The 24,251-nt window shown below is 42.0% G+C and overlaps 1 protein-coding gene and 1 pseudogene across 14 annotated transcripts in view, besides 1 other annotated feature; one reads left to right on the plus strand and one right to left on the minus strand.

Moving 5' to 3' along the window:
- Positions 3,951-4,260: a silencer, noted in NCBI's record as "silent region_14177". NCBI's record gives its function as "represses an Ori minimal core promoter by ATAC-STARR-seq in GM12878 lymphoblastoid cells {active_cell/tissue: GM12878}" and the evidence as "EXISTENCE:reporter gene assay evidence [ECO:0000049][PMID:35858748]".
- CNOT10 (CCR4-NOT transcription complex subunit 10) overlaps positions 4,150-24,251 on the plus strand; it is an 88,688-nt gene continuing 68,586 nt past the window's right edge. For 7 of the 14 annotated variants that reach the window (XR_007095661.1, NM_001256742.2, XM_006713085.4 and 4 more), the window contains exons 1-3: positions 14,503-14,789; positions 22,830-22,924; positions 23,773-23,934. Coding sequence is in view for 12 of the 14 variants with exons in the window: in NM_001256742.2 (NP_001243671.1) it covers positions 14,588-14,789; positions 22,830-22,924; positions 23,773-23,934 (459 nt within the window). In the remaining 2 variants the exon portion in view is untranslated. Of the gene's footprint in view, positions 4,445-14,502; positions 14,790-22,829; positions 22,925-23,772; positions 23,935-24,251 lie in introns of those variants that run through there. The other 7 variants (NM_015442.3, NM_001393367.1, NM_001393366.1 and 4 more) reach the window with 2 other exon arrangements.
- On the minus strand, positions 13,126-13,202 carry LOC124905595 (uncharacterized; annotated as a pseudogene).

Genomic DNA, 24,251 nt, shown 5'->3' on the forward strand with positions numbered 1-24,251 from the left:
CTATGTTTCCCAGGCTGGTCTCAAACACCTAGGCTCAAGTGATCCACCTGCATCAGCTTCCCAAAGTGCTGAGATTACAGGTGTGAATCACCACACCCAACCTTACAATACATTATTATTAACTATAGTCACCATGCTATACATTGGGTTCGACTCCACCTCCTGATGGATGGGAGGAGCAGCATGTGCGTATTGGGATGGTAAGAGTTGTCAACCAAGAAGCTAGATGTAAAAGGTCACATATTGTATGATTCTCTGGAGGCAGTCTTCCACAAGCAGTAAGAATCACATATAGGCCAGGCACTGTGGCTAACACCTATAATCCCAACATTTTGGGAGGCCGAGGTGGGTGTATCCCTTGAGTCCAGGAGTTTGAGAACAGCCTGGGAAAAATGGCAAAACCCGGTCTCTACCAAAAATACAAAAAATTAGGCCAGGCGAGGTGGCTCACGCCTGTAATCCCAGCGCTTTGAGAGGCTGAGGCGGGTGGTTCACCTGATGTCAGGAGTTCGAGACCAGCCTGGCCAATGTGGTGAACTAAAAAAAGAAAAATTAGCCAAGCACGGTGGCTTGCGCCTGTAATCCCAGCTACTTGGGAGGCTGAGGCAGGAAGATTGCTTGAACCCGGGAGGTGGAGGTTGCAGTGAGCCAAGATCGCATCACTGCACTCTAGCCTGGTTGACAAGAGAGAAATTCCATCTCAAAATAAATAAATAAATAAATAAATAATAATAAAAATAAAAATAACAAAAATATAAAAAATTAGTCAGGTGTGGTGGCGTGCACCTGTAGTCCCAGCTACTTGGGAGGCTAAGGTGGGAGAATCACCTGAAACTGGGAGTTAGAGGCTGGAGTGAGCCATGATTATACCACTGCACTGCAGCCTGGGTAACAGAGTGAAACCTGTCTCAAAACACAGACACAAACAAACAAACCACATACAGTCTAAAGTACTGTGAATGGATAGTGGTATCATTATTAGCTGGAGGTAAAGTGACTCACCGTAGTTTATGACGGAGCAAAATCCTACTGAGCTTTTCCACCTCCCCACTCCTGAATTAGTTATCCATCATTGATGTCAGCCTGATTGTGAAAAAAGGGAGAGCTGCTGATACGGAAAGTAGAGGGAAGAGAGCCCAAATATCTTCAATATAATAGCAAATCCTAGAATCTAGAATGTAGTGGTTAAGATAATAGCCATTTACCAGTCTTGTGGCTTGGGAAAGTGGATTAACATCTGTGCCTCAGTTTCCCTATCTATGAAATGGGGGACAAGAACCAACATAGATGTGACCACATGTGAGAAAGTGAAAAGGGGACTAAGAAAATTAAAAAAAAAAAAACAGTTCTGTTAGTAGAATGTTCCCAACTGGACATAAACAGCACTCACAGAATATGAACAATGTTCATAGACAGTTTCACCATGATCGTGTTTTGGACAAGACAGAAACAAGGCCCTCAACAACCACACAAATGGGAAAACACCCCCTTCTTCTAATGTAAATGATCCCGCTTTTTTTTTAACCAATGACAGCTCTAGCTTGCTTTGTTCCTCCTTCTGTTTAGATAAAACCAAGACTGAATTGCTTGTTTCCTGACAGCATCCAATTCAAATTTGGCCTCCTACTTTCCCAATCCCTCTAGAATAAGCCCAAATTCTATAAGAGATTCCTCCTAATTCCTTTTCATTAAGAGGCTCCCTACTACACTTCAGGTGTGCCTTTTTATTATTTTTTATTCTTTATTTTATTTATTTATTTATTTATTTTTGAGATAGACTTTTGCTCTTGTTGGCCAGGCTGCAGTGCAATGGCACGACCTCGGCTCACTGCAACCTCTGCCTCCCGGGTTCAAACAATTCTCCTGCCTCAGCCTGCCAAGTAGCTGGGATTACAGGCACCCGCCACAACGCCCGGCTAATTTTTGTATTTTTTTTTAGTAGAGACGGGGTTTCACCATGTTGGCCAGGCTGATCTCAAACTCCTGATCTCAGGTAATCTGCCTGCCTCGGCCTCCCAAAGTGCTGGGATTACAGGCATTAGCCACCGTGCCCGGCCAGGTATGCCTTTGCCCAGCCAGGTATGCCTTTTTATGGTGGGCACATATTCATCAAAAGTCATACTAGAGTAATCATATTGGCCCTATTCAAAATAGATAAAATATCCAAATGCCCAACAATAAAATGAATACATAAATTAAGGAATATTCACATAATGTAACATTATAATATATAACAATGAGAAACAAATACAACTTCATTCAACAATGTCAATGAATCTCATACTATCGAGCAAAAGAAGCTAGACCCTAAAAAATATATTGTATAATGTATATACATTAAGTTTAAAAGCAGGTGAAGCTAATCCATAGTGTTAAATGTCAGCATAATGATTATCTTTGTGGAGAGATGGGAAGAGGCATGAGGGGAACTCCCAGATATGGGTAAAGCTCTGCCCTTTCTCTGGGTGCTAGTTATATGTATGTGTTGAGTTGATGAAAAGTCAATACACTGTACTTATGATTCATGCACTTTTCTTTGTGTATGTTAGCCTGAATTAAAAAGTTTAAGAAAAAACAAATACTTTTTTTTTTTTTTGAGACAGAGTCTCACTCTGTTGCCCAGGCTGGAGTGCAGTGGGGCAATCTTGGCTCACTGCAATCTCCGCCTCCCGGATTCAAGGGATTCTCCTGCCTGAGCCTCCCAAGTAGCTGGGATTACAGGTGCACACCACCACGCCCAGCTAATTTTTGTATTTTTAGTAGAGACGGGGTTTCACCATGTTGGCCAGGCTGGTCACAAACTCCTGACCTCAAGTGATCCACTTGCCTTGGCCTCCCAAAGTGCTGGGATTGCAGGTGTGAGCCACCACGCCCGGCCAAAAACAAATACTTTTTTAAAAGAAAGTTTAAAACAAAAGTTAAAAAAAAAGAAAAAAACAGGTACAAACCTGAAAAATCTCCCAATTAACAAAGCTGGGACAATTTTAGCAACAAAATAATGTAGTATTGGAATGTAACCATTATAAGATAAACATCCATGAGTCCATACTGATATAAATAGCTAAGTGAGGGAGAAGAGGCAAACTTCCCTTGGGGAAGATAATTTATGTACATACTCCCCACTGCAGGAGGTAGAGCTTAAATACCCCGCCTTCCCACCTTGAGTGTGGGTTGCATTTATTGACTTGGTTCCAAAGTAGTGTGGAAGGGTAGGAGGAGTAATTGCACAGTAGAGAAAACTGGCAAGCACTACCTTAGAGAGGTAATCAAGGTTAACATGATCAGTGATGTCATTTTGACAGCATGTACCCTTGATTCTATGTGATGAGAACAGCCAGTCACCTTGTGGTCTTCCTCCTAAACACCCAAAACCCCAGTCTAACCATGAGAAAAATATTGGCCAAACCCAAATTGAGGCACATTCCACCAAATATCTGAGGAGTAACTCTTCAAAACTGTCAAGGTCATCAAAAACAAGAAGAATCTGAGAAACTGCCACAGCCAAAAATAGCCTAAGACGACATAATGAATAAATGCAATATGGTGTCCTGGACAGGATCCTGGAACAACAACAAAAAAAGGACATTGAAAGAAAGCTGGTAAATGTGAATAAAATGTGTAGTTTAGTGAGTAATAGTGCGCCAATCAAACTGGTTTCTTAGATGTGATCAACGTAACATAGTAAAATAATTAAGATGTTCACAATAGGAGAAACTAGGTGAGGAGACAGGAACTCTAGGTGTCATCTTTGCAACTTTTCTGCACAACTACAACTATTCTAAAATAAAAGGCGTTTCTTTTTAAACGGGAATCCTCAACAGCGCCTCTCTCATGGGGTTGCAAGAAATCAATGAGATAGTACAGACCAAGTGCAGGGCTCAGTGCTTAGCACATAAATGTCAGATGTGGTTATTGTAATATTATGTAACATTGAGGGACAAAAGCTCTGACACCTCGGTGTTTTAATTAGAGTAAGCAAAGGACAGACGCGCGTACGTCCCACCGCGTCAGCCCTGTGAACATCCAGAGGTTCCAGCCAGAGTACGTCCGGCCGGAGGCGGGGCGCGGAGGGGACGTCGGCGTGGGGCGGGGCCAGTAGCAGTTCCCACGCCGGCGCTCCAGGCGCGGCAGGCTGCCGCCCCCGGAAGTAGTGGGTACCGGGACGCCGTGAGGCGGAAGCTGTGTATGGCGGGAGGCTGTGGCGGTCCCTTGGTGGGGAAGCTGTTGCTGTTGCTAGACGACGGGAACTAGCTCTCGTCACTTCCTCAGCCCGCCGTCTGCCCACTCCTCTAGCCGGAACCTGGGGGCCCGGAGCCGGGGTAGGCACAGAGTTGTCCTCGGAGGTCCAGGACAGCGGCCAGCCCGGCGGCGGGAGTCAGGGCCACGCCACCTGCAGGGAAGAACCCGAGTCGAAGCGGGAAGATGGCTGCAGACAAGCCTGCAGGTAGGGCGCCAATGTCCCGAGCGACGAGACGGCGGGACGTGCGGGGCCGGGCGGACCCTGAACTCGGAGGCGGCGGGGCCCGGGGTGGGGACTCCAGGGCGACTTGAATTTGGGCGTGCATTTCTTTACCCCATCCTCTGTCTCGGCTGTCGCTAACATGAGTCTTCGGGCCCCGGGTCCAATAGTTGTTTTACTCAAGTGCAGTATTTGAAGTCGCCACTGGCCGCCTTTGCCCTGCTCTTCAGAATAACTCCGGCCCAAAAAGCTTAAATGTATTTTGCCGCTTCGCAGAATTTTCCGCTTCTTCGTGGGAAAAGCAGACAAGAGAAAGTCACCCTGGAGCACACATCTGCCTATAATATCGCGTGGCTGAGGCTGGGATTCACCTGGGCTGTTTTGACCACATGTGGCTTCCTCTGGTCATTGACTCCTGTGAAATTAACTTTGTAAAAACCACTTTTTTTTTTCTTGATAGAGACGGGCGGGGGTCTCGCTATGGTGCCCAGGCTGATCTCGAACTTCTGGGCCCAAGCGATCCTTCCGCCTTGGCCTCTCAAAGTAAACCACTTATTTAAAAAGGCATAAAATCCTATTGTCTCTCTACAGTCTGTGCTCCTAAAATCTTGCATTTGGTACTTAATTGCTCTAGTTCCTCGAAATTACTTAATCTCAATGGTTTTCTTTATGGATTATTGCTCCCATTCCTAGAATCTTCCACATTAAGGAATATAAAATTATTTCCTGACCTTGTCCGGAATGTTTCCCGCAAGAAATTCATATTCTTTGTGGCATCCAGGTTTTATTGGAAAGAACTTAAGTGACAGGATTTAAAAGTGATGGAACTTAAAATTTTTACAGTGAATTTAATTTAAAATTAAAGAAAAACTCAGTGTGCTGTGGATTTTAGTAGGTTCTGGTCACAATAACTGACAAATGAACTTCACTTGGAAATTAAGCCAATTCTATTTTAGGTACAGAGGAATAAAAATCATTAGAGGATCTCTTCAATAATCTAAGAAGAAAAACAACAGAACAAAGGCCTTGAGAGGGTATAAGGAATGTGCTGTGAAATTTTGGATAGGTTGTTCAGGGAAGGCCTCTGGTGAGATGATATTTGAGCAGAGATATGTAAGAAGTGAGGGAATGAGCCATAAGAAATGAGGAAAGGTGGATGAGGGAGAGACTATTAGACAGGAAAACGGCATGGCCTGTCCAAGGCTGGACCAGGGGACCAACATCTTCCTCCTTATTTTAGAATAGTGTCTGTGTTCCCCACATTTACCATTCCTACTTGCTCATACCATTGCGCTTGCCCGAAATCACCCTTTTAGACCTAAAGCCCATCCAGTTTTCAAATCCTCAGTCATAAAGCCTTCTACTTGTTCATTTATTCATTCGCAAAGATTGAGTGTTGAATAATGGATATGACACACTCCCTGCCTTTGAAGACCTGCTGTTCAGTCTGTTGGAGGAGACAGGCATATCCTAGCTGCACTCCTGTTTGGTAAGAGCTGTGTAATGTGTGTAGTTGAAGAATAAGGTCCACAGTGATTAGGGGACTGTTTTTTTCATTGGTTTAAGTTTATAGGCCATATTGAAGGAAACTTCCTGCTTTGATATAAGGTTAAATTTGAATAAAATAGATGAGTGTTTAGTGTAGCTCCTTTGAATCTCTGCTCATCTCCATCTCATCTGCTGTGTTTCTGGCCTTTATCTTTTAATATGATCTATGTCGCATTGAGTAGTCTTCTCACTGGTGTTTGTCTCTTGTCTCTTCCTATCCCATCCATTTTCCTCACTGTCGCCCCCCGCTTTTTTTATGTCCTAAGACATTCATTGAATCCTGTCATTCCCCTTCCTATAAAGTTTCTAAGACTGTACATGCTTTGGGCATCAAGTCATCATTCTTTTTATTTAATTTTTATTGTATTTTCTTTCTCCTTTTAAGTCCTCACGGTTTTTTTTTTTTGTTTTTTTTTTTTTTTTTGAGACGGAGTCTCGCTCTGTCACCCAGGCTGGAGTGCAGTGGTGCGATATCGGCTCATTGCAAGCTCCGCCTCCCGGGTTCACGCCATTCTCCTGCCTCAGCCACCCGAGTAGCTGGGACTACAGGCGCCCGCCACCACGCCCTGCTAATTTTTTTGTATTTTTTAGTAGAGACAGGGTTTCACCATGTTAGCCAGGATGGTCTCCATTTCCTGACCTTGTGATCCGCCTGCCTCGCCCTCCCAAAGTGCTGGGATTACAGGCGTGAGCCACCGCGCCCTGCCGTCCTCACTCTAATGTGGTTTGTGAGCATCTTCAAAATCTATTTCCAGCTGGATTTCTGTATCAACCCACCCAGCTCTTCACATCATAAATTACTGTTGCAAAGCATTGTGTTTTTTGAGCTTTTGAGCCGTAGTGTCCTTTCTCTTCTCCGTCTGGTGAACACTATTCATTCAGTCTATCTTACATGCTGCTTCCTCTCTGAGCTCACGAGGTCAGGATATTTGTCACGGAGGGTCTTGTGTGTGTGTTCTTCATCAGGTAAGAAAAAAGGGTCATGAAAGGACTTAAGGTGAGTGATCTGATCACACTGACTGTTGTAGGTGGTGGATTTAAATGAAGTAAGACAGGAAGCCTAGAGACCACCTAAGATGAGTTAATGTTGTGATATTAATTTATTCAGTAAATATTCACCAATGGCCTGTTTTGCCAGGTACTACTTTAGGAACTGGGCAGGAACAAAACAAAGTCTCTGTTCTGGAGCTTATTTACTATGAAGGACAGATAAGCATGTAAATAAAATGAAAAATAAGATGATTTCAAGTTGTGATAGATACTCTGAAGAAGGCCAAGTGCAGTGGCTCACACCTGTAATCCCAGCATTTTGGGAGGCTGAGGGGGGTGGATCACCTGAGGTCAGGAGTTCAAAACCAGCCTGACCAACATGGTGAAACCCCATCTACTAAAAATACAAAAATTAGCCAGGCATGCTGGCGCACACCTGTAATCCCAGCTAGCTGGGAGGCTGAGGCAGGAGAATTGCTTGAACCTGGGAGGCAGAGGTTGCAGCAACCCGAGATCGCACCACTGCACTCCAGGCTGGGTGACAGAGTGAGATTCCATCTCAAAAAAAAAAATAATACTCAGAAGAAAAAAATGAGTAAGAGAGGCTGTCTGCAGTTGCTCACACCTGTAATCCTAGCACTTTGGGTGGCTGAAGTGGGAGGATTGCCTGAGGCCAGGAGTTTGAGACCAGCCTGGGCAGCATAAGTGAAACCCTGACTCTAAAAAATAAAAAGCCAGATATCATGGTGTGTGCCTATAGTCTCAGCTCCTAGGGAGGCTGAGGTGGGAGGATTGCTTGTACCTAGGAGTTCAAGGCTGCAGTGAGCTTTGATCACGCCACTGTCCAGGCAACAGGATGAGACCCTCTCTCAAAAAAATAAAATAAAAGGCCGGACGTGGTGGCTCACGCCTGTAATCCCAGCACTTTGGGAGGCCGAGGTGGCAGATCACGAGGTCAAGAGATCGAGACCATCCTGGCTAACACAGTGATACCCCGTCTCTACTAAAAATACAAAAAAATTAGCAGGGCCTGCTGGCGGGTGCCTGTGGCTCCCACCTGTAATCCCAGGACTTTGGGAGGCCGAGGTGAGTGGATCACCTGAGGACAGGAGTTTGAGACCAGGCTGGCCAACATGTTGAAACCCTGTCTTGACTAAAAATACAAAAATTAGCTGGTCGTGGTGGCAGACGCCTGTATTCCCAGCTACTCGGGAGGCTGAAGCAAGAGAATCACTTGAACCCAGGTGGCAGAGGTTGCAGTGAGCCAAGATCGTGCCATTGCCCTCCAGCCTGGGCAACAAGAGCAAAACACCATCTCAAAAAAAAAAAAAAAGAAAAAGAAAAAAAAGAATAGAGGATGACTGAAAGCCTTGTTTTTCAGATAGATTAGAGAAGGGCTTTCTTAGAGTTGACATTTAGACAGAAACCCTAAGGATAAAGAGCCAGCTGTGTTGGGAAGAATGATCCAGGTAAGAGGAGCAACAAATATGCAAATGTACAGAACCCTTGCTTGGAAAATGTCTAAAGAACATCAAGCAGACCCCTTGAATACAAGCTCCCCGAAGATAGAGACTTTTGTCTGTGTTAGTTGTGTTCTAGCTCTAGTCCCTAGAACAATATCTGACAAGAGACACTCAACACATAATTTAAGGCTGGGCATAGATGCTCACACCTGTGGGAGGCTGAGGTGGGAGAATCGCTTGAGGCCAGGAGTTCAAGACCAGCCTAGGCGACATAGCCAGACTTGTCTCCGTAAAAAATAAAAAAAAATTAGCTAGGCATGGTGGCGTGACCCTGAAGTCCTAGCTACTCCAGAGTCTGAGATGAGAGGATGGCTTGAGCCCAGGAGTTGAAGGTTGCAGTGAGCTATAATTGTGCCACTGTACTGTAGCCTGGGTGACAGTGCGACCCTGTCTCAAACAGAAAACAAAAAAGCCAATACACATAATTTATAGCATAGGGAGCAAAGGCAGCATGGCAAGAGATAAAGTCACAGTTGTATCAGGAGTTGGTGTATGTTGGGCGTTACAGGCCATGGAGGGAGTTTGAATTCATTTTAACTAATGGGAAGAGAGTGGAAGTTTTCAATAAGGGCATGATGGTGTGATCTGATTTATATTTAACTGATCCAGGTAAGGAATGATAAGAGTAGGGGCTTTGAAATCAGATAGTTTAGGTTCATCCTAGCTGTACTACTTGGTATTTGTGGGAAATTGGGCAAATTTCAAGAAGTCTTTTTTTTAAGCTTCAGCTTTCCTGCGTGTAGAATGAGAACGATGAAAGTATCTACCTCACAGGTATGGTAACAGGTTAAATGATATAATCTCAGGCTCTGAGTTTTTTGGTTTTTTTGTTTTGTTTTGTTTTGAGACAGGGTCTCACTCTTTCACCCATGTTGGTGTGCAGTGGCACCATCATAGCTCACTGCAGCCATGAACTCCTGGGCTTAAGCAATCCTCTTGCCTTAGCCTCTTGAGTAGTTAGGACTACGGGTGTGTACTACTGTATCCAGATAATTTTTTTTTTTTTGAGACAGAGTCTCGCTCTGTTGCCCAGGCTGGAGTGCAGTGGTGCGATCTTGGCTCACTGCAAGCTCCGCCTCCCGGGTTCACACCATTCTCCTGCCTCAGCCTCCCAAGTGGCTAGGACTACAGGTGCATGCCACCATGCCCGGCTAGTTTTTTTGTATTTTTAGTAGAGAAGGGGTTTCACCATGTTGGCCAGGCTGGTCTCTAACTCCTGACCTCATGATCCGCCCGCCTCGGCCTCCCAAAGTGCTGGGATTACAGGCATGAGCCACCGCGCCCAGACTTATTTGGTATTTTTTCAACTTTTTATTATGAATGATTTCAAACACCTAAAAAATTTAAAAAATAAAATGAATATCTATATATCTACCCCCTAGTTCATTCAGCAATTGTTATATTTTACCATATTTGCTTCCTCTATCACTAGCTATGACTTTTTTTTTTTTTTTTGAGATGGAGTCTCACTCTGTTGCCCAGGCTGGACTGCAGTGGTACGATCTTTGCTCATTGCAACCTCCATCTCCCGAGTTCAAGCGATTCTCTTGCCTCAGCCTCCCGAGTAGCTGGGCTTGCAGGCACACGCTACCACAGCCAGCTTTTTTTTTTTTTTTTTTTTGAGATGGAATCTCACTCTGTTGCCCAGGCTGGAGTGCAGTGGTGCAATCTCGGCTCAGTGCAACCTCTGTCTCCTGGGTTCAAGTGATTCTCCTGCCTCAGCCTCCTGTGTAGCTGGGACTACAGGTGTGTGCCACCATGCCTGGCTAATTTTTTGTATTTTTAGTAGAGACGGGGTTTCACTGTGTTAGCCAGGATGGTCTCGATCTTCTGACCTCATGATCCACCCACCTCGACCTCCCAAAGTGCTGGGATTAACAGACGTGAGCCACTGTGCCTGGCCATGCCCAGCTAACTTTTGTATTTTTAGTAGAGACGTGGTTTGACCATGTTGGCCCGGCTGGTCTTGAACTCCTGAGCTTAAGTGATCTGCCCGCCTCGGCCTCCCAAAGTGCCGATGTGAGCCAACACACCTGGCTCTAGCTATGACTTTTAATGTTGAATCATTTCAAAATAGGTTATAAACATCATAACACTTCATCTCTAAATATTTCAACATGCGTTTCTTAAAAATAGGGACATTCACCTATGTAACCATGATGCCATTGTCATAGTTTAGACAATTCATGTTTTAATATATTAAAAATTTCCTGCCAGCCAGGCATGGCGCCTCACGCCTGTAATCCCAGCACTTTGGGAGTCTGAGGTGGGAGGATCAGTTGAGTTCAGGAGTTAGAGACCAGCGTAGGTAACATGGTGAAACCCTGTCTCTACCAAAAATGTAAAAAATTAGTGGTGGCGCATGCCTGTAGTCCCACCTACAAGGGAGGGTGAGGTGGGAGGATCATTTGAGCCTGGGAGGCAGAGGTTGCAGTGAGCCAAGATAAACACCACTGCACTCCAACCTGGGTGACTGAGTGAGACCCTGTCACCAAAAAAAAAAAAAAAAAGCCAATTTCCCGCCAGGCATGGTGGTTCATACCTATAAATCCTAGCACTTTGGGAGGCCGAGGTGGGTGGATTGCTTGAACCTAGGAGTTCAAGTCCAGCCTGGGCACCATGGTAAAACCCTGTCTCTACAAAAAATACAGAAAGTTAGCTGGGTGTGGTGGCATGTGCCTGTAGTCCCAGCTATGGCTATATTTTAAAAATTTATTTGTAGGCACAGGGTCCCAATATATTGCCCAGGCTGGTCTCAAACTCTTGGGCTGAAGGAATCCTCCCAGCTTGGTCTCTCAAAGTGCTGGGATTACAGGTGTAAGCCACTGCACCCAGCTTTATCTCCTGTATTTTCTTAAACTCTAACTTATTTCTACAGGCTTGATTAGATATAGGTTCAACATATTTTTGAGAAACTTTGTAGGTGATGTTATATACTTTATTTTCTGTATAAAGTACATAATGTCAGGTTATCCAGTATTAGTGATGCTAAATTTGATCAATTTGAGGTGCTGACAGGAACATCTTTTTCCATTTTCAGTTAGAGGTAATTTATGGAGTAATTGGCATTTCGTAAATATCCACTGTTGTTGATTCTTTCCTCAATCAGTTGTATTATTGAGGGTTACAAAATGATTTTTACCTAGTTCTATTGTAGTTTCTACCTTTGTTAGTGAATATTCTTCTTTAAAGAGTAGCTCTCCTGGGCTGGGTACAGTGACTCATGCCTGTAATCCCAGCACTTTGGGAGGCCAAGGTAGGCAGATCGCTTGAGCCCAGGAGTTCAAGAGCAGCCTGGGCAACATGAGAGCCTGTCTCTACGAAAAGATTGAAAAAACTTAGTTGGTGTGCTGCTGCGTGCCTGTAGTCCCAGCTACTTGGGAGGCTGAGGTAGGAGGTCACTGGAGCCCAGGAAGTCGAAGCTACAGTGAGCCGTGATCACAGCACCGCACTCTAGCCTGGGCTACAAAGTGAGACCCTGTCTCAGAAACAACAACAAAAAAGAATAGCTTTCCCATATTGACTGTTAGTCTTCCCAGAAAGCCATGTTAAATGCTAAAAGCTTAATTCATTATTTTCAATTACCAGTTTTCAGAACAAGGAGTTGATGTGGTAGTGACCTATGTTTGATATTTAAAGTGGTTTTTTTTCTTTTTTAAATTTAATTAATTTTTTTGAGGCAGGCTTTCACTCTGTTGCCCAGGCTGGAGTACAGGGGCATGATCTTGGCTCACCGCAGCCTCGACCTCCCGGATTCAAGTGATCCTCCCACCCCAACCTCCCAAGTAGCTGGGACTACAAGTACATGCCACCACACCTGGCCAGTTTTTCTGTTTTTCTGTAGAGACAGGGTTTTGCCATGTATCCCGGGCTGGTCTCAAACTCCTGGACTCAAGCAAGCCTCCTGCCTTGACTGCCCAAATTGCTGGGATTACAGGCGTGAGTAAGTGTTTTTAATATTAGAATTTAGAGTAATATATTGGTCTTTTTTTTTTTTTTTCCAGACAGGGTCTCACTCTGTCACCCAGGCTGGAGTGCAGTGGCATGAACACTGCTCACTGCATCCTTGACTTCCCAGGCTCAAGCGATCCTCCCACCTCAGCCTCCCAAGTAGCTGGGACTATAGGCATGCGCCACCACGCCTGGCTAACTTTTGTATTTTTTGTAGAGATGAGGTTTCGTCATGTTGCCCAGGCTAGTCTTGAACTCTTGAGCTCAAGCCATCCTCCCACCTTGACCTCCCAAAGTGCTGGGATTACAGGTGTGAGCCACCATGCCCGGCACTTATATTAGTCTTATGATTTCAATTTAAAATGTATAATTGACTGAATATTGATTTATACTTGTGAATTTAAATTGAAACCTTATTGCAGTTATTTTATTTTGTGGACATTAGAGAGTACCTAAGAGTCACTATAAGTTTAATTTTTTAGGTATGTAAGTTATTCTCAGGAAATTTTTTTTTCTTGACACATGTTAAAATACAAAAATTTTGTCTTTTTAAGTCTAGCAATTATACTTAAAATTGAATATATTGTTGGGGTTTGGTGGGGGGGTTGCAATAGTTCTCACTTGATAAATTTTTTTTTTTTTTAATTTAAAAAAAGTGTTTGGTACTCTACACTTTCAGAGAAACTTCTCCAGTAACAAACTGTAGAAATGATCCCTGAAAGTGTAGTCTTGGTAAAATTTTTTAAGTAGTTAACATTTTATGTTTGAAGATGTTATGTTGAAGGTGAACTTTGAAATGAGTTTAGACATTCATCACAGGCCTTTAAAATTAGACCTCCAAGTAGAATAAGTTGTCTAAGTTCGGTGTAAAAATTTGAGTAAAATCTAGGCTTTTTGAATTTGTAACTTTAATAAATTAAGTATTAATATTTTAAAACTAGAGTAAATCTCAGTCTTTTCTATGCATAAAAACTCCTCCTCTTAGATGTGAAAACAAAATACTCATCAGCAGTGGCAATATTCTGCTTTGCCTAGCTTCCTTAAAGCATGCTGATATTGTTTTTTCTTCTTTCAGTTTTTTGTTTGTTTGTTTGTTTTTTGAGGCAGTCTTGCTCTGTTGCCTAGGCTGGAGTGCAGTGGCATGATCTCGGGTCACTGCAATCTCTGCTTCCTGGGTTCAAGTGATTCTCCCGCCTCAGCCTCCTGAGTAGCTGGGATTATAGGTGCGCACCACCACGCCCAGCTAATTTTTGTATTTTTAGTAGAGATGGGGGTTTCACCATGTTGGTCGGAATGCTCTCAAACTCCCCACCTCGTGATCTGCCTGCCTTGGCCTCCCAAAGAGCTGAGATTATAGGTGTGAGTCACCGCGCCCAGCCTAACTTTTATATTTTTAGTAGAGATGGGATTTCACCATGTTGGCCAGGCTGGTCTCAAACTCCTGACCCCAGGTGATCCTCCTGCCCTGGCCTCCCAAAGTGCTGGGATTACAAGCCTGAGCCACCGTGCTGGCCATGCTGATATTATTGATTTGAATTTCTGTTCCTTTATTTCTACACTACTGGGCAGGATGCTCAATTCTGTAACATTGCTTGTTACAAATGGCTTATTCTTTGGGCTGCGAAGTGTGTGCTTTCCCATTTCTCCAGCTCCTCTTGTCCAGTGGAGGGAATATGGTTTAGTGAATAAACCATTTGAGGTTTTGGTAAGTCAAGTATACTTGTTCAGATGATAGAAATCATATGTGAGGTATGTTAACCTAGCTGTATAGTGACATTAGTGGGCCTGAATTGTTTTTCTTCGAAGTGGCATCCTTCTTAAGATTTAAAACTTTCCTTCACAAGGGCATCATTGGTATTTTGTGACTGTGATTGTTGATTTCCTTAGGTCTTTTAACATCCCTTTTTTCTTTGGAAAAGTTTTCTTTTCTTGATATATCAGTGGAGCTGTATTTTGATGAGTGTAGCTTGTAGTCTCCACCAATCAGATTTGAATGATTAACATTCTGTATTGGAATGTGTCTGTGCTTTCAGTTAACTGATGATTTTCAGTTTTGAAAACGTGGTGCATTTCTTTTCTGCTTAGTTCAAACCTAAAGGCAATTGTTTATTTAGAAATGAAGTCTATTGGTGTAAAGACTGTCAAGGTTTGTGGGTCAAAGAGCTCTGTACGCATAGAAGGTCAGCCATGTTCATTAGGCCAGAGTAGAAGGAAAGTCAAGCTTATGGGTGAACGGTCGTATACTCTTTCAATTGGCAACGGAGACTACTTTTGGGCAAATAAAGAAATGCTGTGGGATTATGTGCAGACTCTGTCTGGTAAGAAGTCAGTAGTTATAAATAATAAATGTTTTTAAAACATTAAAAAAACTGATTACAAAAATGAATACCCATTTCTGGCAGAAAACTCGAGAAATGTACAAATACACAAGGAAAATAAAAATAATCCTGTTGAAGAGAGTGTGTGTGTGTGTGTGTGTGTGTGTGTGTGTGTGTGTGTGTGTGTGTATTTGAAATGGGGTCTTGGCCGGGCGTGGTGACTCATGCTGGTAATCCCAGCACTTTGGGAGGCCGAGGCAGGCGGATCACTTGAGATCAGGAGTTCAAGACCAACCTGGCTGACATGGTAAAACCCTGCCTCTACTAAAAATACAAAAATTAGCTGAGCATGGTGGCGGGCACCTATAATCCCAGCTACTCAGGAGGCTGAGGCAGGAGAATCACTTGAACCTGGGAAGCAGAGGTTGCGGTGAGCTGGGATTGTGCCTCTGCACTCCAGCCTGGGCAACAGAGTGAGACTCCGTCTCAAAAAAAAAAAAGAAGAAGAAGAAGAAATGGGGTCTCACTGATTGCTCAGGCTGGTAGTCATATACTGGGCTCAAGCAATCTTCCCACCTAAGCCTCCTGAGTAGTGAAGTGTGTTTTTTTAAAAACAGAAAATTTTCATCCTGAAGTTAAAGAAGGTAGGTAAAATAATGGTTCGTTAACATGTAAAAGGTTATTTATTGAGCTCAGTTCTGTGAAATGTGTGTAGAAATGGGAATTTCAGAGGCTCTTGTCAGCCTTAGAGTCCAGCTTATCTATTTATTTATTTATTATTTATTTATTTTGAGATGAGGTCTCACTGTCACCCAAGCTGGAGTGCAGTGGCACAATCTCAGCTCACTGCAGCCTCCACTTCCTGGGTTCAAGTGATCCTCCCTCCTCAGCCTCCCAAGTAGCAGGACTACGGGCATGTGCCACCACACCTGGCTAAGTTTTGTGTTTTTGGTAGAGATGGGTTTTCACCATGTTGTCCTGAGCTCAAGATCCACCCTCCTCAGCCTCCCGAAGTGCTGGGATTACAGGCGTGAGCCAGTGTGTCCAGCCCAGCTTATATATTTATCTTAAATTGGCTTCTCTCCTTTTCTGGAGAATTTTAGGAGACTTACATTTTCTTTTTCTTTTCTTTTTTTTTTTTGAGATGGAGTCTCGCTCTGTCACCCAGACTGGAGTGCAGTGGCGTGATCTCGGCTCACTGCAGCCTCTGCCTTCCGGGTTCCAGTGATTCTCCTGCCACAGCCTCCCAAGTAGCTGAGATTGTAGGCATATGCCACCACGCCCAGCTAATTTTTGTATTTTTAGTAGAAACGGGTTTCACCATGTTGGCCAGGCTGGTCTGGAACTGCTGACCTCAGGTGATCTGCCCACCTTGGCCTCCCAAAGTGCTGAGATTATAGGCGTGAGCCACCATGTCCAGCCTGATACTTCCATTTTCTGGGGTTGCTAACAGCAGTGGCCACATGAACTACTCTACTTTTAGTGGAGAATAGAAGCTCAAAATTTTCAACACCTGGGTGAGTTGTTGGGTTTTCCCCTTTGCCCTGTATTTCTAAGGTGCTCTTACAGTTGGTCCCAAAAGTCCCATTAAAGAATGTCATCTAATCTAGGGCATATTTTACTTATTTATTTTATTCATATCTTTTATTATTATTATTTTTGAGACAGGGTTTCACTCTGTCACCCAGGCTGGAGTGCAGTGGCATGGTCACGGCTCACTGCAGCCTCAACCTCCCAGGCTTCAACGATTATCCCACCTCACCTCCCCAAGTAGCTGGGACTACAGGCACATGCCACTATGCCTGGCTAATTAAAACAATTTTTTAAAATAGAGACAGGGTCTTGTTTTGTTTCCCAGGCTGGTCTGGAACTCCTAGGCTCAAGCAGTCCTCCTTCCTTGGCCTGCCAAACTGCTGGGATTACAGGTGTGAGCCACTGCCCAGCCAAGGGGCATATTTTAGAAGAAGCTTTAGAGAAAACTCAATAGCAAACTAAGAATTTTTGGCATTTGGTTTAAATTATGCTTCTTTATGAGAGAAGACACATTTTTTAAAATGTTAGGTTTTATAAAATCTTTAATAATAAAAGAAACATGAAAGATATTTATATTCTTTGTTAAAGTTTTATGGTGACAATATGTGGATTGAGGATCCTGTTTCAATCTAAACTTATAACTTGCCTTCTGAGGTCCTAAAGTCCTGTGTCACATTTTTACACGTTTTAAAATAATTGGTCCTTACCTCTTTTGTGCACCTGACAGTTCTGCAAAACACATGTATTGGATAAACAGTATGTTCTTGCAGTGAAACTCATTGTTATTGGCTTTCCAAAGAAAAAACTGTTTAACATTGTCCTTTGAAACTGGCAAACTTTATTCACTTAACTCTTAGCTTTTCCTCCTCCCTGTCGTATGCTAAAGTGGAAATAAAATAACTACTTGACCTGCTAACTTTAATTATCACAAGTAACACTTTTTAATAAGCCCAAATACTGGAATGCCTTTTTTATACAGCAGATAAGTTCTTAGATGAGTTTTTTTAAGTACAAGTTATACAGTATTACGTTGTTATAAGTGGTGACTCTCAAAAGGGTGTTCAGTCTTCTGGGGGTTTCGTAGTGATCTAAAGAGCTGTTTCATAGTCAAGTCACATGAAATTGAATTTTACTGTTAATTTTTATGTTTAAATTACAGACATAAATATATTTTTAAAAATATAAGTACAAGAATTTTTAGTTCTGGTGAAAGGAAAGTGGGGAAGGGAGCTATATTTATTTAGCATCTCTAATTAAAAACAGGCCAAAGGACGACTGGACTGAAGATGTGACTGATTCTAAGACTTGTGCTCTTTTAATTATGTCATATTGCCTTCTTGGAAAAGGGAAGTTGGGAATCTTCACTGACTGCTGACATGTGCCAGGCTAGGACTTCCCAAAGTTAGTTCTGTTGACAACTGGTTCTTTTATTTTTAGTTTATTAAGATGGGGTCTTACTCTGCTGCCCAGGCTGGAGTGCTTTGGCACAATCTCAGCTCACTGCACACTCCACCTCCTGTGTTCAAGCAATCCTCCCACCTTCGCCTCGCTTGTAGCTGGGACTACAGATGCATGCCACCATGCCCAGCTAATTTTTGTATTTTTTGTAGAGACGGGGTTTCACCATGCTGCCCAGACTGGTCTTGAACTCCTGGGCTCAAGTGATCCACCCGCGTTGGCCTCCCAAAATGCTGGAACTACAGGTGTGAGCCACCACACCTGGCCAACAACTGGTTCTTTGAGATGCTCCTGTTGTCTAGGCAGTTATCAAAAAGTGCCCAGATCATAAGTGCACATACAGTTTGGTGAATAGTTTGCTGTGTATCCTTGTAGACTTTATACTTATTCAGAGGTACATATTTGTGTATATATTTTTATAAAACATGGGATTCAGTTGTACAAAGCAGTTTGCAATCTGTTTCTTTTATTTAACAACATGTTGTAAATATTTTTCCACATCAAGTTATATAGACTTAATAACTGTTAATGTGCCATTGTATTCCTATACCATGATTTAGTTATCAAATCTCTTGAAGAATATTTATTTCTAGACATTTAGTATTATCGTTTTAATTTACAATTATTTAATAAATAATGAGGCTGAATTTCATTTCACGTTATTAAGCCATTCATATTTACTCTTCTTTCAGCAAGTTTCTGGTGTTTGAGGAACACTGTGAAGGACTGTGGCAGGGTTCTTGAAGATAAGGGAGTTTGTTTATCTAGGCAACTCCTGGAAGCCATTATAGAGGGAGTCACACTTCCCAGTATCCTGGAAGGGGGCTTGTGATGGATGAGGTGCGAAAGTGGAGGCTACTATGACAGATGCAACTCTAGGGCACCATACTGGGGGAGCATTCCACTAGCTCTAGCCCCAACTTGAGTCCATGTTGGCAGATCTATAGAAGGAGAGGGAAGAATGGAAAGGAGCCAGTAAGCAAAAGAACCCCATAACCAGTGTGATTCTTGACAACTTTCTGGAAAGTTGGTTGTAGGCACTCTTGAGGGGTAAACTTGGGGACAAGGTGGTCTACTATTTCTCATGTGGGTATTTGTCTTCCATAGAAACCTTAATTGGATATGAGTGCTGCTTTAGGAACAAACATATCAGTTTCTTTTTTTTTTTTTTTTTTGAGATGAAGTCTTGCTCTGTCACCCAGGCTGGAGTGCAGTGGCATGATCTCGGCTCACTGCAACCTCTGCCTCCCAGGTTCAAGTGATTCTTCTGCTCCAGCCTCCCAAGTAGCTGAGACTGCAGGCATGCACCACCATGCCCGGCTAATTTTTGTGTTTTTAGTAGAGATGGGGTTTTACCATGTTGTCCAGGCTGGTCTTGAACTCCTGACCTCAGGTGATCCGCCTGCCTCGGCCTCCCAAAGTGCTGGGATTACAGGCGTGAGCCACTGCGCCCGGCCTCAGTTTCTTTATAGAAGCATGTTTGGAGTTACTGAATCTGAGTTGGAAGGGATGCTAAAAACTATTTAATACAGACTCTCATTTTAGTAAATAGGGAAGCTGAAACTTGCCCCAGTTCCACTTTGTAGCATCTGTTTAATTTCAGAAGTGACATTAAAGTTTTAGTCTTATTTCAATTCTAAAAATTGTCTGTACGTCACTGTGCAACCTGCCTCCCGTCTGTATGTTGAAAATGATAGAATCTGCACTATTGTGCTACATATCAGGGGTTTACTCTGCCAGGTACATGCCAATTGCTTCACATATATTCTTACTAAAGCCTTACAATAACTTGAAAAAGGGTTTTCTTATCCCCATTTTGCGGATAGGTTCAAGCTTTGGAGGTCTTTGAGTTTCAGTCTGAAGCAACAATTCTGTATGAAAAAAATTCCTGTATAAATAAGAAATTCAAATATTGTGAGACTTTGAAATTCTTTAAAGTCATACACAGTGACATTGCCATCACCTACCTATGTTTGCAGCCCATGACATCACATTTATACAGTGGTCACATTTCCTTTTAATGATATTTCCATTAGTGGTGCATGGAGCTTTTGCTGGTGAGTAGAACCAAGAAACAGAATATTCTTTGGGAGATAGTAAAATATAAAAGGCATCTTTTAAAAACAAATGGCAAATTTTTGCAGAAAAGAAAACTTAACATTAAAAATGACTAAGCCAAGCGCAGTGGCTCACACCTGTAATCCTAGCACTTTGGGAGGCTGAGGCCAGCAGTCACCTGGGAGGTCAGAAGTTTGAGACCAGCCTGACCAACATGGCAAAACCCCGTCTCTACTAAAAATAAAAAAATTAGCCAGGTGTGGCGGCAGGTGCCTGTAGTCCCAGCTACTTGGGAGGCTGAGCCAAGATTGTGCCACTGCAGTCCAACCTGGGTGACAGAGCAAGACTCCATCTAAATAAATAAGTAAAATAAAAATAAAAATAAAAATGACTAATATTTACATTACCTATATATAGTATTCTTGCCAGAAATGTTAAACTGCATGTAATATTGAGGAAATAACCAGAAAAATTCAGAATGTAGGACATTCTAATTCTATTTAATTAATTCTAATTGGCTTAGACTCTTTTGAAAAAATAAAAAACCAAAAAACAATGACCTAATGATATCGTGTAGCTCTGTGTCCCCAACCAAATCTCATGTTGAATTGTAAATCCCCAATGTTAGGGGAGGGACCTGGTGGGAGGTGACTGGATCATGGGGGTGGATTTCCCCCTTGCTGTACTGGTGATAGTGAGTGAGTTCTCACTAGATGTCGTTATTTAAAAGTGTGTAGCACCTCCCCCTTTGCTCTCTCTTCTGCTGACCATGTGAAGATCTGCTTGCTTCCTCTTTGCCTTCTGCCATGATTGTAAGTTTCCTGAGAACTCCCTATATGTGCTTTCTGTACAGCCTGTGGAACCATAAGCCAATTAAACCTCATTTCTTTATAAATTGCCCAGTCTCTGATAGTTGTTTTTGTTTGTTTGTTTTTTGACAGAGTCTCACTCTGTTGCTCAGGCTAGAGTGCAGTGGTGCAATCTCGGCTCACTGCAAGTTCTGCCTCCCGGGTTCACGCCATTCTCCTGCCTCAGCCTCCTGAGTAGCTGGGACTACAGGTGCCCGCCACCACGCCCAGCTAATTTTTTTATTTTTTATTTTTAGTAGAGATGGGGTTTCTCCATGTTAGCCAGTATGGCCTCGATCTCCTGACCTCGTGATCCACCCGCCTTGGCCTCCCAAAATGCTGGGATTACGGGCGTGAGCCACCACACCTGGCCTTTTTTTTTTTTTTTCTCAAGACAGTCTCACTCTGTCGCCCAGGCTGGAGTGAAGTGGCGTGATCTCAGCTCACTGCAACCTCTGCCTCCCAGGTTCAAGCAATTCTCGTGCCTCAGCCTCCCAAGTAGCTGGGATTATAGGCATGAGCCATCACGCCCAGCCAACAGTGACTCTTGAGAGAACTATAAAAAGTATTGAAGCATTTGTTAGAGTACTTAACACACTTTTGCTCTGAGTAGTTTAGGTTTGGTTCAGCTGAGATTTTTACCTTTATTTTGGAATTCTATTTTCAAATTAAAACAAAAAGCAAAACATCTAATATTTAAAATAGCAAATTATAGAGGTAGGAGGTAGTTTTCCCAGCTAAACAGATTATTAACCTTTACTGTGAATTTATATGGACACTTAACATATTAAAGAAACTTTTTAAATGTGTTAATATTTTGGATTTCTGAGCCTATGAAAATATTCCTTGCCTGGAAATTAGCTGTAAGCCCTTATCAGTGTAGTTTTCTGATTGTTACTACTTTCCAACTAAATTATAAATCTCTTAAAGCCATCGTAGGTGTGTTTATATCTCCAGCACCTGCCATAGTTGCTTGAATATGTGGGACTGTATATTGCTGGGTGGCAGATCTAATATTTTTTAAAGAGCACAATATTCTCAGCTTGAATGTCCTCATCTACAGGGCTTGTGGTCTTTATTTAAGTGGGCAGGTTTTCATTGTGTTTCAACTTGGCCATAGGAACCTTTTCAAGCTTTCAGAGGAGTAGCTTCTTATTAGCTTATAACATTAATCAGTCATTGTTTTTTGTTGTTTTTTTTTTTTTGAGACGGAGTCCTACTCTGTCGCCCCGGCTGGAGTGCAGTGGCATTATCTTGGCTCACTGCAAGCTCCACCTCCCAGGTTCACGCCATTCTCCCGCCTCAGTCTCCCAAGTAGCTGGGACTACAGGCGCCCGCCACCACGCCAAGCTAATTTTTTTTTTTTTTTTTTTGTATTTTTAGTAGTGACGGGGTTTCACCGTGTTAGCCAGGATGGTCTCGATCTCCTGACCTTGTGATGTGCCCGCCTTGGCCTCCCAAAGTGCTGGGATTACAGGCGTGAGCCACCGTGCCTGGCAACATTAATCAGTTATTGTTGAGAGAGCCCTAACTTTGGCCACTTTATTAGGAAGAACACAAGATGAAAACTAGGGACAAATTCACTATACAGTAGTCCCCCACCTTTTCCTCAGAAGATACATTCAGGGTCCTCCGGTGGATACTTGAAACCACAGATAGTACTGAACCTATGTACTGCTTTTTTTAATACGTACATAACTATGATAAAGTTTATAAATGAGGCACAGTAAGAGATTAACAACAACAGTAATAAAATAACAGTTATCTGAATGTGGTTTCTCTTTCTCAAAATATCTTACTGTACCCTACTCACCTTTCTTCCTGTGACCTATTGATCTGATAACCAAGATGGCTACTGTGTGTCCAAGGGGGAGGTATCTTATACAACATGGAATGCTAGACAAAGGAATGATTGACTTCCTGGATGGGACAGAGCGGGACACTGCAGGATGGCAAGAGATTTCATCATGTTACTCAGAACATTGCTGTTTAAAACTTAAGAACTGCTTATTTCTGGAATTTTCCATCTGATATTTTCATACTTGACCTTGGGTAACTGAAACTGCAGAAAGTGAAACTGGATAAGGAGGGACCACTGTACAACTTTTATTTCTAAAGAACTGTAAAATTTGTGTGTTTGCAGATCAGGGAGCAGAGAAACATGAAGGCACAGGTCAGTCCTCTGGGATCACTGATCAAGAGAAGGAGTTATCCACCAATGCTTTCCAAGCTTTCACAGTAAGAAATGGCTTCTCTTAGTCTGCTCAAGTTGTAGGGTTCTGTCAAGTATGAATCTTTTCATAGTGAATTTTTAAATTTACAATTTTTACTCTGTAATAATTCAAAAGTTAATTTAGAGATAAGTAGGTTTAATTTTTAAAATAAATGTTTTAGAGTTTAAATATGGTGAAAGGAATGGGAATAATTGGAGCCATTCCCAAGTTTTTGTAAACATGTTTTAACTCATATACTGTTGTTTTTAAGTCTTTTAAATTTAGATTTGTAAGTATGTGGGTCAGTCTTTTCATTTCACTAAGCTGTTCAATTCTTTTATTTATTTATTTCTGAAAATATCAGATTCAAAAATTATTTTCTTGAAGGTACTTTAAAATGGAACCCCAAAACTTTATTGGCAGAATTTTAACTTTTTCTGGCATTAAACAATATGAAAGAAAACCTTATTTGGTTATCAGGTTACGTGCATGTAAGCAGAAGAACTTGATGCTTGGGTATTTAAAATATATTTACTAGAAAATAAAATTTGGAGTGATTATATTACCTTTCTTGACTAGCCTCAGCCATTAATACCCTGCTAGCACTATATGTATATGCCAGTATATTTATCATATCAATATATGTGTCTTATATGTGTCAATGTCAGGGTTTTGAGTCTTAGGAAGTAAATATCCACAGTTTAACTGACATGAATGTTGCTTTAGTGACTTTGATTAGTATATGTAGGGAAACTACATCTTTCTTTTTAAGAACTTTTAAGATAAAGATGAATGAAATATATTTGGAATGATATACTGTATTTAAAGCTGGTATGTAATTTTGTGTGTGTGTGTGTGGTTTTTTTTTTTTAGTCTGGAAATTATGATGCCTGTCTACAACACCTTGCCTGTCTACAAGATATAAACAAAGATGATTATAAAATAATTTTGAATACAGCAGTAGCTGAGTTTTTTAAAAGTAACCAAACAACAACAGATAATTTGAGACAAACACTTAACCAGCTGAAGAATCAGGTGATACATAAATGAATTTAACTATAAAAAATATTGTTCTGTTCTTTAATTTATGAAACACAAATAGTTAAGGAAAATAAATGTGATTTGTCTGGTATTTCTTGTCAGAAACATTTGTTAGCATTAATTTTATTTCCGTAAAATTATTATTCCAGGAGATAAAAGGTATGTTGTGGGATCATTTTTTTTAATTGGGGTTTTAATGAACTTGAACAGAATAGACTAATATACCAAATTTGAATGAGCTTTGGAGTTTTGAGAAAGAACTATATGAAGAAGCTTAGCTGTGGAGATATATCTTGTTTATAATGAAAAAA

The sequence above is a fragment of the Homo sapiens genome, chromosome 3 (genome assembly GCF_000001405.40).
Source record: "Homo sapiens chromosome 3, GRCh38.p14 Primary Assembly".
NCBI classification, from domain to species: Eukaryota; Metazoa; Chordata; class Mammalia; order Primates; family Hominidae; genus Homo; species Homo sapiens.